The following is a 15767-nucleotide window of genomic DNA, read 5'->3' on the forward strand; positions in this document are numbered from 1 at the left end:
CATAAAGTTCTATGCAAAATCTATGGGTGGCACTGTTGCACAATGCTAGTGGGTGTGTGGGTATGGGGGTGTGATTAACTGTTTACAGGCTGTGTATAAGTGTGCATGGATGTCTGAGTGTGTGCAAATTAAAACGGAAATATGTGCCGGAGTATGATACAAAGTACAGGAAAGTACTCGGGCTTTGGAGTCTGTCTGACTTGGTCTTGAATCGTTGGCTCTGTCATTAGCCGGATGTATAACCTTGGGCCAGACACTCAATCTTCAATTCCCTCAACTAGGAAATGAGGTTAATAATAAGTACCTTTCAAGATTAAATGAGGACTAGAAACGATACCATATAGACAAAGCTTTTGGTGTCATAGCCCACGCATAGCAGGACTCAAAAGTAAGCAGCTATTTTCATGCACTGTCAGTATACCTCTGGTGGGTACAGGGACAAGAGGGAACAAAATGTGACCTGTATATAAGGTGTAGGGGAGGACGGGTGTGTGTGTGTGTGTGTGTGTGTGTGTGTGTGTGTGTGTGTGTGTGTTTACAAAACAATTTATTCTCCTTCTCCAAGGAACCCCCTATTCAGACAGGAGCAGGAAGGTAGGAGGGGACATACAAGTGTCCACAGACACCTCGGGTTTCTGGGTCCTGGATCTAAGTGAGTAAGGGGTTGAGAGGCCCGTAGGAGCTGCAGGAAGCCAGCCGCCTGCCCAAGCTTCCTTTTTTTTCCCCTCCGCCCAGCAACCGTTGAATACCGCCACCCACATCCACTCCCCACCTCCACCCTCACCCCTCCTCCACCCCTACTCAGCTTTCTATTCAACAAGTGAGAGCAAGGGCGGGGAAGAAAGCCGACAGGGGAGAGGATTGCTTCCCTTTCTTTTCCCATTCCCCCTTAAGACGAACCAGGAAGTAACCGCAAGAATCGGGCCACCTTAACAGTAGAGTAATGGTTTGGCCTCGCGCCAAGTCCCACCTCTGTTCCAGCTCCTGCTCCTCCCCTCTCTCTTCCCGCACTGCTTGGGGAGAGCTGGTGAGCAAGAGTCTGGCCCGAGTTAGCTAGAGCTGTTGCCATGACAAGCATTTTCTTAAGAAAGCTCTGCTGTTGAGATCGTCCAAAGCTGGGGGCTGGGAGGGGGGGCACGAACTTCGTGGGGCACCATCCCTCCGAAGAGAGCAAGATCAGAGACACCCGCCCAGCTCTCCTGCACCCTTTTTCTTTCAGGAACCTGAGAGGTCCTTCCCATTGGAGGGGCAGGGGGAGGAGACCCAGCCCACTCCCCGGCCTTAGCCAGAAAGGCAAGAGAGCAAAGCCAGCGTCTCTAGCTTGGTTGCCACACTGGGGAGACTGGTGGGTGGTCACCCCACCCTACCCTCATCCATGGAAACCCGGAGGGAGAGTCCCGCCTGAAGAAACCTGGATCTTTGCTAGAAAGAGAGGTAGGCTTGCAGAGAATGAATTGACTTGTGATTTGCAAACTTTGTTTCTTTCTTTTCTCTCAATGGCTTCTAAAACTCCCCGATTTTCCTCTTTCTAGAATATTTCATGCGACTGGGTTTGGAGGATTTTTTTTAAAATATGTGTGTGTGCACAGATTTGTCAAATACTGTTTTACCTATTATCAGTTCTGAGAAACCATATAGTCGAACAAGTGATTTATCTCTCTTTTCCTAGTTCTTGTCATTCCTGGGCTATGGGGTAGGGTAATGGAGGGTTCTCTTTTTGACACCAAAATTGAGCTCTTGGAAAAAATATTTATCTCCCCTCCCTCAACCCATTCCGTTCCTGCCCTCCCCTTCCCCCCTTGGCTTGGGAATGAGACGCAGGATGGAAAACTGTTGCAAAAATATTTTCCGTGTCTGTTCCCTTTCTCGAAAGCCCAAAAGAGAGATGGAAAAAAAAAAAAAAAAGGAACCAAAGAAATCTTCAGCAGAAAGAGGGGCTGCAGCGGGAACTAGGAGAGGGGCACTTTGGGGCCATGGGGTGGAGGTGGGCTGGGAGAAGTTGGCAGGAGTGGGGAAGGAGAGTGCACGAATTAAATTTCTTTAGCTTTGCAGAGAAACCTCAGCAGTTTCTCTGTGCTGCTTGCAAAACATCCTCAGACTTTCACATGTATAATTAGCTGTGGAAAAAGCTGGGAGTTACCTCGTACCGCTGTTGTTTGAGTGTGTGTGAGCGTCCAGAACCAACTGTATGAGTGTCTCCGAGGGCACCGCCCCACACATCTCTGGTCCCAAAGGGGAGGAAGGAGAAGGGTGAATTGAAAAGTTTCCGATGTCGAGGCTGGACACTGTGGGGCTGGTGAGTGTTTGGCAGATGGGGTGGGCCACAGGCATCTGTGGAAGGATCCCTGAGCGTCTCGGGCCACTGCCTTGGCTTGCTGAAGAGCTAGGAATTAAGACTGGGATTGTCCTTCCTGCTCTCCCTTCTCTCTTTCTTTTACATACTTGGCTCGCTCTTGGTAGAGGGGGCTGCTGGCATCCTTCCCCGAGTCGAGTCTGGCCTCTTACACTCCTCCACCTCCCTGAGGGTACCCGCCGCTCTTCTCCAACTGGGTGTGGAGGGTGCAGGAGTGGCCAGCCGCATCTTGGGAGGGGAGTGGGCACTCTGCTGCCAGAGGCACGTCCCTCCTGGGCATTCCTGCCGGACTTAACAATAACTTGCAGACGTGATGCCGGCGCCTGCTGGCCGGGCAGGGGGAATGTCAGATGAAGAAATAGGCCGGTACTCAACTGAGGCCCCTGTGGAGAGGGGAAAGGAGTGGGGGAGGGAAGGGAAACAAAATCCCATTCTGCAGCGCCCCCCTCCTCTGTGTGAGGAGTCTGGCAGGGAGTCTAGAGACCCTGGCCCTGCTCCTTAAGCCCCTCCCCAAGCTGCCCCTTCTCCACGCGCTTCCCATTGGAGGCCCTACTACGCCCCCTCCACTCTGAGCCCTCTACCTGGAGGAAGGAGACCAGGCTCATTCCAGGCTGGGCCAGGCCCAGGAAAGCAGCCTGGGAGTGACGAGGGGCTGGGCCAGGAGTGTTTAGGAAGAAGGGGAGTGGAAGAGGCCTCCTAGCCCATGTGCTGAGTTACCCTCCTTGGCTGAGGGTGGTGGCTTGGGGAGCAGACTCTGGGAGGGGCAGGAAGGATGGTGGCAGCTTGGTAAGGCGTGTTCTGGAAGGTGGGCCCTAAACCCTGAAGCAGACAAATCTGTGGGAATCAGGCTGGGGGAGAGGAAACACCTGCCTTCAGCCCCAGGGCTTGGAGGAGTGGTAAAGGCTACAGCTGAGACACTGCGGGAGAAGGAAGTAAAACACTTAGAGGAGAGCTCATCTCGGGGCTGGGGATGCAACAGGAACGATTTGATTTTCACTTTGAGGTGTTGATTGATCTGACTGCACCCCTCGGCTAGACAGCTCTTCCCTACCTGTGTTCTGCTCGAGAAGGGAATGAGGCCTTCCCCAGTGGGCAGGGCCCCCAAGACAGAATTAATGCCCGTGTTCTGGAGGGAGGGGATCCATTTCTATACTCCTCCTCGGGAGTCCCATCCTCCCTGCCACCATCTTGCTGAGGTGCAACCTCGAAAATCACGCCGCTTTCGCCGCGGCCTCCCATCGTGGAGGCTCAGAGTGCAGCTATTCCTGCAGCCGGCCTTCCTATTTTCAGTAATCTGATTAGGGGTCGATGTTGGTGGGCTCGGGGACGGCTTCTCCGTGAGGTCGTTATTTAGCGCGCACCGGGTCGCCTGAGCCCGGGGTCGCGGCCAAAGGGGTAATCGGCTCCCGCAGTCTCAGCCCTTCCCCCGGGGCTCGGGGCAGGATTGACTGCGCAACCCTGCGGCCCCTGTGCTCTCCGCGGCCTCTGCGACCCCGCCCCGCCAGCCTCTCCGCCGCTGGGCTCCACCCTCCCGGGCTCTGCTGTAGTCTGAGAACTCCGTGGAGAATGCGAACCGAGCGGCGAACGGAGGCTTCCTGCCTCCCAGGTTGTGCCGAGCCTCAGACCCTTCTCCCTTCCATTTACCACCAAGTCTCTAGATTCAAGGTCAAGTCAAAGGAGCACAGCCCGTCTTACCCCTGGGACTCCCAGCGCCCAGCACGGAGCCTGGGATGTTAGAGCGCTGGGTCAAGGCATGTTGAGAGAAGCACGGGCAGTTTGGGGGCCTTGGAATCAGCCTGACGCCAGCGAGTTCCTAACCCGCCGTCTGGCCTCCAGTTTCCCCTCTGCACAATGGAAAGCCTGCTCTCCACGGTAGAGGTGACAGGGCGTGGCTAGGCAGATTTGTCACACTGCTGTGGTCTTTGTCAGAAGAAAATCAAAATGAGAGGGCCCAGTTAGGGGCAGAAGGAGAGCAGTTAGAATTTGCCGAAGGTGTGGGGGCTGGAAGAGGTAAGGTGATGTGTAGGGGCTGGATGTCCTGGGCCAGGATATCGGGAGGCTTTACTCTTCCCCACTCCCACTAACCGGAGGTCCCGAGAGGAACGGGGTCTGGGCTGCTCCCTGCCACCTGTCAGCAGGTCAAGCCTTCCACCGGAAACTGCCCCTTATTCAAGAATTTAGCTTCTCTCAAAAACTCCGAAACCCCTTTTCTCTCTCTCTCTCTCTCTCTCTTTTTTTTTTTTTTTTTTCAATGCTCCTGGCCTTGGACCCAGCACCCAAAGACATGGATTAGCCCTATCCACTAGGACAGAGCATTGCAGACCCACTAAGCCTTGGAGAGAGAAAAGGATCTTGTTCATTCTTAGTCCCCAGAATGACCAAGACAAACCCCGTTAGCCAAACCCCTAAAAAACTGTTTGGCTTAGGTTAGATTAGCTCCAAGTGTTTGACCTTGAAGGGGAACACCCCACCCAGAGTCTTAACTATCCTTCTCTGGAAGGATTCTTCAGGCAATCTGAATTCTTCCCCCGAAGGGCGCCCCTCAGACAAGGCTCCCTACCCAGCCCAGTTCCCTGCTTCTCAGATAAGCATTGATTCCTGTCATCCCAGTGGGTATTTGGTGGGTAGGGGTGAGAAGGAAAGAGGGATGAGAAAAGCAAGGCCTCTGCCTTGTCAGACTGGGATGACAACCTTTCTCCACTCATGTCCCCTTTTCTGCAGGTCATAGGATTAGAGCAGGCCCTGGGGCTGGAGTCCAAAATGCTTGTGTGGAATGTTTTGCCCTTGGCTTCCTCTGCCAGTATCTCTCCTTGTGTCCTCTTTCCTCTTTCCCTTGTGTGAGCCATTCTTGTTCCACTGACTTATTTCCTCTGTACATGTTAAAACAGAAATGACAGGGACTTTCTATTTCTGCCTCTACCTTAAGCCAGTCCTCTGTGTTCAGCCTACATGAACTTGAGTTGAGGAGGGAAACCAGGCAGGATCTAGTGAGGACCAGAGCCAAGGGCTCTGGGTCAGGGAAGAGGCTTGAGAGGCAGTCTATGTGTGAAGGATAGTGGAGAGGCCAAAGGAAAGGAAAGGATTGAGAACATAGGTGCCAAGGGGCAGAGCCCCCATTTCTACCTTTCCTCACCCCAGTTCCTCTCTGCCTAAGATCCTCAGCCTCATTACTCACCTCTGCTCTAGTTTCCCAAGTTTCATGCACAAATCCCTGGGACAACTCAGGGAAGATGAACTGGGATGGGATTACTAAGACCCCCTTCCTCTTGCCTTTCTGCCACTTCACTTGGGGTGTGGCAAAGGGAGTTTGGAGCAGTGCGTTTATTGGTAGGAAGGTCAGGGACTCTCAGCTAGGTTCAAGGAAAGTCTTAGCTTAGAACACCTCATGGCAAGGTCTACCTAGGTTGCGAAATCAATGCCAGGAATACAAACAAGTAGTATACCCTCAATACTAACAGCCCATCTAACATCCCAGGCTCCGTGCTGGGCGCTGGGAGTCCCAGGGGTAAGACGGGCTGTTAGTATTGAGCCCGGGAAGTTAGCAATATCTAACAAAGCTACGTACACATTTACCCAGCAATCCTACGTCTAGGAATTTATCCAGAAGGTGCTCATTCACAAATATGGAAAGCTACGTACAAGGTGATTTTTGTTTGTTTGTTTGTTTGTTTTTTGAGACAGAGTCTCGCTCTGTCGCCCAGGCTGGAGTGCAGCGGCGCGATCTCAGCTCACTGTAAGCTCTGCCTTCCGGGTTCAAGCAATTCTCCTGTCTCAGCCTCGTGAGTAGCTGGGATTACAAGTGCTAGCCACCACACCGGCTAATTTTTTGTATTTTAATAGAGATGGGGTTTCACCGTGTTGCCCAGGCTGGTCTCAAACTCCTGAGCTCAGGCAATCTACCTGCCTGAGCTGGGATTATAGGTGTGAGCCACCAAGCCCAGCCACAAGGTGGTTTTTAAAGGCATATTTACAATAGGAAATCATTGGAAACTATCCAAATGCCCATTCTTTAAAAAATGGTTAAACAAACAATGGTACAGTCCATACAATAGAATCCTAGGTAGCCAAAAAGAAAAAAAAAAGAATGACTAGGAGCCCTGTGAACTTATATGACATGATTGTTAGGATATATTATTAAGTGAAAAAACCAAGACATAGTACAGTATATAGTATGCCACCTTTGGGATAAGAAAGCAGGAGAAGTAAGAAATTTTTTTTTTTTTGAGACAGAGTCTCGCTCTGTTGCCCAGGCTGGAGTGCGGTGGTGGGATCTCGGCTCACTGCAAGCTCTGCCGCCCGGGTTCACGCCATTCTCCTGCCTTATCTTCCTGAGTAGCTGGGACTACAGGCGCCTGCCACCACGCCCGGCTAATTTTTTGTATTTTTAGTAGAGACAGGGTTTCACCATGTTAGCCAGGATGGTTTCGATCTCCCGACCTCATGATCCGCCCACCTCAGCCTCCCAAAGTGCTGGGATTACAGGCGTGAGCCACCACGCCTGGCCTAATTTAAGTACTTTTTAACCTTCATTCCCTGATTCTATATTCATATTTTAAGTAAAAAAAAAAAAAAAAACCACCTACAAAGAAATCTTGACCTTTACTTTGTAGACATGTTATTGGTTGTGGTATTTGTGTCATAAATTGGAAACTGTTTCGTTTATTGTATGATAGATGAAATGAGTAACTATGGTGATATTTCTGGAAATCAGGGTCTCACTATGGAAAAAGAGAGATATAAGTATGGAATGGGGGAAGGGGAAAAAGAATCTTTCGGGGTTTTTTTGTATATCTTGTGGGTCTGTCCACTGAAAGGACTGTGGAAAGGAACACACCTAGTACCTGGATTTTTATTTCTAAGTACAACTTCCCACGGGGGAGGTTGTAAGGAACAGTGCTCCTTGAAAAAATGACTAATTTCAAGTCTGAGACTGGGAAAGTATAAGTGAACTGTGTTGTGCCAGAAACTAGAGCATGCTCATGTCATGACATGTTGTCACAGGAGCTGGCTTAAAGGGTCTCCCGCCAACCAGAGGTGAAACACATTAAGCATTCCAAAGGATAATGGTAATAGATTGTAACACATTGAATATTAAAAATTCCTTGAGTCTATTTTGACAGTTGACATGGACAGGGAGGAGCAGGGAGGGAAAACTCTGAACAGAAATGCCAACGAGGCCAGACACAAGGCCTCACTCTGTAATCCTACCACACTGGGAGGCCAGGGCAGGAGGATCGCTGGAGCCCAGGCGTTTGAGGCTCCCATGAGCTCTGATCATGACACTGCACTCTAGAATGGGTGATAAAGCAAGACTCAGTCTCAAAAAATTAAAAAGTAAATGCCAGTTGGGCGCAGTGGCTCATACCTGTAATCCCAGCACTTTGGGAAGCCCAGGCAGGTGGATTACTTGAGGTCAGGAGTTTGAGACCAGCCTGGCCAACATGGTGAAACCCTGTCTCTACTAAAAATATAAAAATTAGCCGGAAATCGATTGAACTCAGGAGGCAGAGGTTGCAGTAAGCCAAGATTGTGCCACTGCACTTCCAGTGGGAGACAGAGCGAGACTCCATATCAGATAAATAAATAAATAAATAAATAAATAAATAAAGTAAATGCCAACTAATAAAATCTAGTAGTAATGACAAGATTTTTCTTTAAATTTAATTTTATGTGAGGCTGAGGTGGGTAGATCACCTGAGGTCGGGAGTTTTAGACTAGCCTGACCAATATGGAGAAACCCCGTCTCTACTAAAAATACAAAATTAGCCGGGCGTGGTAGTGCATGCCTATAATCCCAGCTACTCGGGAGGCTGAGGCAGGAGAATCGCTTGAACCTGGGAGGCGGAGGTTGCAGTGAGCCAAGATCACACTATTGCACTCCAGCCTGGGCAAGAAGAGTGAAACTCCGTCTCAAAAAAAATTTTTTTAAATTTAATTTTAATAGAAAAATACTAGTTTCATATATGTATGGGGTGTAATGTGATGTTTTGATATATGCATACATTACGGAACGATTAAGTCAAACTATCAACATATCCATCACCTCACACATTTATCGTTGTTTTTGTAGTGTAAACATTTAAAATCTCTCTTAGCAATTCTGAAACATGCATTACATTAACTATAGTCACCATGTAGTGCAGTAAATCTCAGAAACATTCCTTCTGTCTACTGAAACTTTGCATCTTTTAGCCAACATTATCTTTATTTACCTACCTATTTTTAGAGATAGGGTCTCACTCTGTCAGCCATGTTGGAGTGCAGTGGCCCATAGCCTTGAACTCCTAGGCTCAAGCGATCCTCTTGCCTCAGCCTCCCAAAGCACCAGGATAATGGGTGAGACACAGTGCCAGACTGGAACTTTAAATTGACCAGTTTGCAGCCTCTACTATAATAGCTGATTTAGTCTAGCGTTTAATGGATACTAAAACCACTGGGTGAAAGATTGGTCTTAGCATATCTTAGTTTGGGCTGCTAAAACAACATCATAGACTGGGTGGCTTAAGCAACAGAAATGCATCTCTTTGTTTGTTTGTTTGTTTTTGAGACCGGGTCTTGCTTTATCATCCAGCTGGAGTGCAGTGGCACAATCACAACTCACAGCAGCCTTGATCTCCTGGGCTCAAGCTATCCTCCCACCTCAGCCTCCCAAGTACCTAGGACTACAGGCGCATGCTATCATGCCTGGCTAATTTTCATATTTTTTGTAGAGACGGGGTTTCACCGTGTTGTCCAGATTGGGCTCGAAATCCTGGGCTCAAGCAATCCACCTGCTTCAGCTTCCCAAAGTGCGGGGATTACAGGCATGAACCACCGCACCCGGCCCCATTTATTTATTTATTTATTATTTTTTGAGATGGAGTTTTGCTCTTGTTGCCCAGGCTGGAGTGCAATGCTGCAAACTCAGCTCACCGCAACCTCCGCCTCCTGATTTCAAACGATTCTCCTGCCTCAGCCTCCTGAGTAGCTGGGATTACAGGCATGTACCACTACACCCGGCTAATTTTGTATTTTTAGTAGAGACGAGGTTTCTCCATGTTGGTCAGGCTGGTCTCAAACTCCCAACCTCAGGTGATCCACCCTCCTCAGCCTCCCAAAGTGCTGGGATTGCAGGTTTGAGCTATCACACTCAGCCCCCATTTATTTTTGAAACAGGGCCTTGTTCTGTCACCCAGACTGGGGTGCAGTGGTGCAGTCATAGCTCACTGCAGCCTCAAACTCCCAGGTTCAAGCAATCCTCCGACCTCAGCCTCCCAAGTAACTGGAGCAGGTGCATGCCACCATGGCTGGCTAATTTTTTTGTTGTTATTGTTGTTTTGTTTTTTTGTAGAGATGGATGACATAGGAAGACTCCACCTCTACAAAATAAAAAATTAGCTGGGCATGGAGGCTGTGCACCTGTCTGTAGTCCTAGCTACTCAGCAGGCTGAGGCAGGAGGATAACTTGAGGCTGCAGTGAGCCGTGATCATGAAACTATACTCCAGCCTGTTGACAGAGTGAGACCCTGTCTCAAAAAAAAAAGGTGAAACTAAGTAAAGGGTCTGCAGTTGTTTATTGTGCTATTTTTTTCAACCTTTCAGGTTTGAAATTTTTCCAAATACTTAGCCAGAGAGAGAAGTCCATGCCAGAGGCACTCCTAGATTCCTGGTTTCTTCTCACTTTATCTGCAAAACTCCTGACCAATAGGAGTGTCTTTTCTAAGCTCTTGGGTGCTGAGAGTCCCCATGGAGCACACAGAGGGATCTTCTAAGAAAGTAAGGTCCTTTAGGAAGCCTACCTTCCCACCCTCACTGCTCCCCACCCACAGCCTCTCCTGTCCAGACAGGAGCACCTGGGCCCTGATGAGTGGGCCACAAAGGGAGGTAGGATGACAGGCATTCTCCCACCATGCCATGGGGCCAGCTGAGGGAACCTGGGGACTGAGGGCTTCCAGAGTCACCCACCTAACTTTTGAGGAGACAGGTCCCAGGCTGTAAGAGAAGAAATTCACCAAACAGCCCAGAGATTGTTGCTGACCAAACCTTTAGTGTCCCTTAGAATTCTCTAATTAGGTGATTCTGAAAGAAACCAGCAAGCAGTGCCTGCCTGGAGCCTTCATGCCTGAGCTAAGCAAGGCCTTCTAGGCACTCCCTTGGCAAGGGCAGCACACCTGGCTGTCCTGTCATTGACCCAAATCATTGTGCTACCCACCCCCGCCTCCCCATCCTGATCGTCGCTCTGGAGAGAGATTGAGTTTCCAGGATGGCTTCTCTCTCTCTTTTTCTCCCTCTCTTCTCCTGGAAACCCTGGGGCTAGGCCCTACATGACTCAGGGCTCTTTTTACGTAGGCTCATGTAGGTGACGGCTATTAATCCTTTAGTCAATTCCCCTTCTGTGTTGGTGAGGGAGCCTGAAAGAGCGGGAGCCAGGAAGTTGGAAGGGGGCAGACAGGGAGGAGTTTGTTCTAGTGGGCTGCCAGGCTTGCCAGAAGAGCACGGGACTGGGAGTCAGAAAACTGGTAATCTGGACTCTTGTCTGCTGTGTAACCTTGATTGAAGCAGGGGATATCTCTGGGCCTTCATCAACTGCACTGTTACATGAAACCAAGTTTGGACATACAGACATTCCTGATTCAAGACCCTCCTCTTCTATAGAAGACAAAGGAGTAAAACTCTCAATGCCCAAACCAAACTCTTTTATCACAGATAGAGTCTAGCACAATGTAACAATTTGCAGCCAAGTCCCATCCTTCTGCCCAGGATGACCAGGGGAAAAGAGGCCAAAAAGCATATGGCTTTGAACTGCCACCATTGATGTTTGGGAGTAGAACAGGTTCTAAGATTTCCCACCTCCACCTGCCGGGAACTTCAATTAGGAAGTACCTTCCAAGGCCGTAATTCTGCTATGTCCTAGGCCAGAAACTAAGGAATATTAGCTAGAGGTAGAGAAATTCAAACTTTCACAAAGTTTCCTAGGGCACATAATCCCCCCAAAAGTTATTATATTGAACCATATGAAAATGCCAATATACGGCTGGGTGCGGTGGCTCACGCCTGTAATCCCAGCACTTTGGAAGGCCGAGGCAGGCGGATCACGAGGTCAGGAGATTGAAACCATCCTGGCTAACACGGTGAAGCCCCGTCTCTACTAAAAATAGAAAAAATTAGCCGGGCGAGGTGGCAGGCGCCTGTAGTCCCAGCTACTGGGGAGGCTGAGGCAGGAGAATGGCGTGAACCCCCGGGGGGGGGCGGAGCCTGCAGTGAGCCGAGATCGCACCACTGCACTCCAGCCTGGGTGACAGAGCAAGACTCTGTCTCAAAAAAAAAAAAAAAAAAAGCCAATATACAACCACTTTTGACCTACAAAGGCAATTTCATGTAGCTCACCTAACAATATTATTCGACACTGGAATAATGTCAGTGGCATTACAGTCAGTGTTGTGAGCTGCAGAGATTAGGTTTTCATCTGAGCTGTGGGTTGGATTAGAAATTCAGGCAAAGTTGCCAGCTGCTAGGCCAGCTTACCCTCCTTGCCAATCCAGACTTTCAGCCCTAGAGGTAGACATGTTGGCAGAGCCCTTGTTTGGACTCTGGTTGAGATTCTAGCATTAGCCTTCCTGGCAACTGGCCAGGGAAGCTGCCCAAGGTAGAGAGGAATGTATCATCCATCTATAGTCTGCTTTTCTTGTGTCCCAAATGCCCTGCTTCCTATCTTGGGAGCTGAAGACGGAGGAAAATTTAAGAAAGGAGGAAATGGAAATACTGGCCCTATTCATCCTCTGTCTAGTGGGATACAAGAGCGGGAACACACACTTGAAATCTCATCTGGTGCAGGGACACATGACCTAGTGATGGCTGGTAACTGCTAATAGGATGGCTGGGGGCTGAAGGGGTCTTAGTGGGAATGGGGAGACTAGAATTTGGCAGGGCTCAACTGGAAATTATTCATGGAGGAGGTGATTGCCAAACAGGATTTTAAAGAGAAAGGACAGATTTGATGGAGGAGGGGAGGGGAGATGGGGAGGAAGGGGTGTGCTGCTACCACCCGACTGAGGACACTCAGAGCATCCTGGAGAATCGGATACTCTGGCAGGTGAGGGAGGCTGTCTGATCCCACTCGCTGGAAGGCCTCCAGCCTTTGTCTGAGCCAGTACCGGTACTGTGGGCAGGATGGCATCTGGCCTCAGCAGCGGCCTGCCACCTGTCTGCTTTCCTGGCACTTATGGACCATTAGGATGATTTTTTGATGTTTTCTCCCTGCTGTCCATATTACAGCCTTCTTTGTGGGGAGCACTCGTACGACATCTGTTAGGATGCAAGGACAGGCACAGCAAGCAGCAAGCATCCATTCCAGGAGCTTTCTGACCTTGTACAGGGGAGGACGGTCACCAGGCTTTGGGCTTGTCACCAGGCTCATTTTACTGAGACAGAGCATTTGAGATGGACAGAGAACTGGCACCTCGAGACTTGCCCAAAGACACTGGGTTAGTTTGAGGCAGAGGTGGGGGTACAGCCTAGTTCTCCCCACTCCAAGACTGGGACCTCGACCCCATCACTGCAACACTGTGTGACCAGATCAACACCAAACTTCCCTGGTTCCCAATGTCTCTACCCACATGGCAGAGAGAACTATCCCCGTCCCTCCAAGGTTGATGTGAGGTCATGTGCTAGGAGCAGTTTGGAAGACAGATTCTAGAAACCATAAAGGTGCTGGTGGCATGATTGTTACTGTTGCTGTTATTATTAACAATTAAGGTCATTAGCACACAGAAAATGCAAAGAAGTATTTGGCACTGCCCGTATCACCGTGCAGCTCCTAACAGTCCCCTCCATGGCTCCTCCTCGCACACTGGGCCTTGAGCTGAGAGAGGCAGAGTAATTGAGAGGGGAAGCAGAAGTCCTGGGAAGAGGTGTGCAGAGATCTCCTCCTGCCGGGGTATTCTTGGCCCTACGCTTTCCTCAGGGTGTGCCTCCTCCAAAAGGTCAGAGGAAGTGCAGAGGGGAAGGAGGGGAAGCACTATTAACTCCATCCTTCCTTAGCAGCTGACTAAGTCAGGTTGGCTGCTGAGCTCTGATTTGGGATCTAAGAGTCAAGAGGGCGGGGCCACCATAATGTGACAGCACAGGCTGATTTGATTGCCAGAGCCAATCTGTCATTCATTTGCTTGTTCACTTATCCATTTATTTATCCAACAAACATGAAGCGAGCACAGACCATATGCCAAGCACTATGTTAAGGGTTTGGGAAGAAGTGGTATCCGGGAGGCAAAGGAAGGGCTCAGCATCACTGATGTTAAGCTCAGGGATGATTGTCCCAAGCCTGGGGACTCACAGCAAGCCCCGCTTGTTGGTAGTGCTCTAGGGAGTTTGCATCTGTTTCCCTGGAGAGCACATTTAACCCTTGACTTCAGGGAGGTAAGATCTAGACCCGACGCACAACTGAGCTGGTAGGGGCCTTAGATATCATTGCAGGGCAGCCCCTGGTGTTAGCAGTGAGACCATGGCCTGAATGGTAAAGGGCTTGCGCTTGTCCTTTGCTGAAGAAAGCCTTCTCCTGGACCAGGGCATGGTGCCGAAGCTGGGTGTGGGTCCAGCCTGGTTTATTCAGCCGCTCGGTTGGCCTCCCAGTGTTACCTGACTTTACCATCCCCTGCTTATATCCGGAGCCTCTGCCTCTGATGGGGTGGAGATGTTCTGTTGCTGGGATGCCCAGAGGAATCCAAATGGTACTGAGAAATAGAACAATACCTCTCCAGAGAAGCCCTCCAGTTCCTCCTCCAGTCTTTACCTCTCATTTCAGCCTCTTAATCCCTATTTTCAGAGGCAATGTGGTATAAAGGATAAAGGAGTGGATTTAGCTTCAGTTGGTACATGCTGTACACATCTGCACCTAGCCTGAGTTTTGCCCTCTTTAAAGTTTGTATAATATCGCCTTTCATTACTTACCCCATAGAGTGTTATGACAGACAAATAAGGTATTGTAGGTAAAAGCATCCCATAAACATTAAAGTGCTAGATATACGTAAAGCTTATTATTCCGGTGACCCCCTCTTCCTATTCCCCACTCTTCATCTCAGTTCCTTCTCTTGACTGCCCAACCCCTTGACCCCACTCCCAAGAACATCCTCCTGTTCTCTGTGTGTTCCCACTCCTGCTCTCACTGCATCCTCCCTCCTTGCTTAGATCAAGATCTAAAACACTTGTTGCATCCTTTTTTGAGACAGGGTTTCACTCCCATCGCCCAGGCTGGAGTACAGTGGCACAATCATGGCTCACTGCAACCTCAACTTCCTAGGATCAGGTGATTCTCCCACCTCAGCCTCCCTTGTAACTGGGACTACAAGTGCGTGCCACCATGCCCAGCTAATTTTTTTTTTTTGAATTTTTAGTAGAGGTGGGGTTTCGCCATGTTGCCCAGGCTGGTCTCAAACTCCTGGTCTCAAGCAATCTGCCCACCTTGGCCCCCCAGAGTGCTGGGATTAGAGGTGTGAGCCACTGCACCCTGCTCTTGTCACATCTTAAATAACAATGACATTGGTAGAAGTAATAATCGAGCTAACATTTATTATTTATGTGATAGGTATTAAACTTGAATCATCTCATTTAATATTCTCAGTGAACAGTGAGGTCGATATTAGCATTGTCTTCATTTTCCACATGATAAAGATGTTCATAAACCATAAGGCTAAGATGCACCCTTAGTTTAGCCCATTTATAGATTTCCTCTTTCCATGGCTGAGTGACTGACTGGTTGACAAGAACATGGGAAGTTTCAACAGCATTTATTGAATGTCGACTAAATGCCAGATGCTTCCAAATTATGTCACAACAACCACCTTCTGAGACAGGTACAGGCTTTTTCTTGGAGATCATCTGGTTGTGAGAATAGAAGCCTACTCAGAGAAGCAAAAGTAAAAGGGAGCTTTATTAGGCCATTACAGGGAAATAGCACAGAACTTAGGTGTGGGAAGTGTAGCCCCTCTGTGAGCCACACCTACATCCTGGAGCTGTAGCACTCTCTTCTTCACAGATGGGCTCCTGCTCTTTCATCCACAAGCACAGGACCCATTGTGGGTGAACCAGGCAGTAGGTTCCATCTGTCAGTCCATGTGGCCTTCCCACTTAGCTCTCCGAAGTAAATTAACTCGGTCTCTCAGTCCAAACGCCAACAGATGCTGATTCCAGCTTAGATCTGATGTCCTCTGCACTCCAGTGATCTGTGGCTTGTGGCAGGGGAGGGAGACTAATCAGGCCTATCTTTTTCATCAGGTCTAGGGGTGGGAGCAGACATTTCTAGAGGGAAAATTCATTGGCTTTAGGTTGATTCAACCCAACTACATTCTTCACCACACCAGACTCTCTCTAGGATATCTTAAAGATAATGCTCTGGTTGAAGCCCCTAAATAAGAGGGCATGCGAGTTGTCCCAGAATCTG

The 15767-nt window shown here is 49.3% G+C and overlaps 1 protein-coding gene across 4 annotated transcripts in view, besides 5 other annotated features; it reads left to right on the plus strand.

Moving 5' to 3' along the window:
- Window positions 41–915: an enhancer, noted in NCBI's record as "NANOG-H3K27ac hESC enhancer chr1:203594954-203595828 (GRCh37/hg19 assembly coordinates)". NCBI's record gives its function as "activates a minimal SCP1, AML or CMV promoter by ChIP-STARR-seq in primed H9 embryonic stem cells {active_cell/tissue: H9 hESC(primed)}" and the evidence as "EXISTENCE:reporter gene assay evidence [ECO:0000049][PMID:30033119]".
- Window positions 916–1788: an enhancer, noted in NCBI's record as "NANOG-H3K27ac hESC enhancer chr1:203595829-203596701 (GRCh37/hg19 assembly coordinates)". NCBI's record gives its function as "activates a minimal SCP1, AML or CMV promoter by ChIP-STARR-seq in primed H9 embryonic stem cells {active_cell/tissue: H9 hESC(primed)}" and the evidence as "EXISTENCE:reporter gene assay evidence [ECO:0000049][PMID:30033119]".
- ATP2B4 (ATPase plasma membrane Ca2+ transporting 4) overlaps window positions 1047–15767 on the plus strand; it is a 117250-nt gene continuing 102529 nt past the window's right edge. For 3 of the 4 annotated variants that reach the window (NM_001001396.3, NM_001684.5, NM_001365783.2), the window contains exon 1: window positions 1047–1434. The gene's annotated coding sequence lies outside the window, so the exon portion shown is untranslated. Of the gene's footprint in view, window positions 1435–2151; window positions 2297–15767 lie in introns of those variants that run through there. The other variant, NM_001365784.2, reaches the window with a different exon arrangement.
- Window positions 3748–3827: a silencer, noted in NCBI's record as "silent region_1722". NCBI's record gives its function as "represses an Ori minimal core promoter by ATAC-STARR-seq in GM12878 lymphoblastoid cells {active_cell/tissue: GM12878}" and the evidence as "EXISTENCE:reporter gene assay evidence [ECO:0000049][PMID:35858748]".
- Window positions 3888–3947: a silencer, noted in NCBI's record as "silent region_1723". NCBI's record gives its function as "represses an Ori minimal core promoter by ATAC-STARR-seq in GM12878 lymphoblastoid cells {active_cell/tissue: GM12878}" and the evidence as "EXISTENCE:reporter gene assay evidence [ECO:0000049][PMID:35858748]".
- Window positions 4002–4688: an enhancer, noted in NCBI's record as "H3K27ac-H3K4me1 hESC enhancer chr1:203598915-203599601 (GRCh37/hg19 assembly coordinates)". NCBI's record gives its function as "activates a minimal SCP1, AML or CMV promoter by ChIP-STARR-seq in primed H9 embryonic stem cells {active_cell/tissue: H9 hESC(primed)}" and the evidence as "EXISTENCE:reporter gene assay evidence [ECO:0000049][PMID:30033119]".

This window comes from Homo sapiens, chromosome 1 (genome assembly GCF_000001405.40).
Source record: "Homo sapiens chromosome 1, GRCh38.p14 Primary Assembly".
Taxonomy (NCBI): domain Eukaryota; kingdom Metazoa; phylum Chordata; class Mammalia; order Primates; family Hominidae; genus Homo; species Homo sapiens.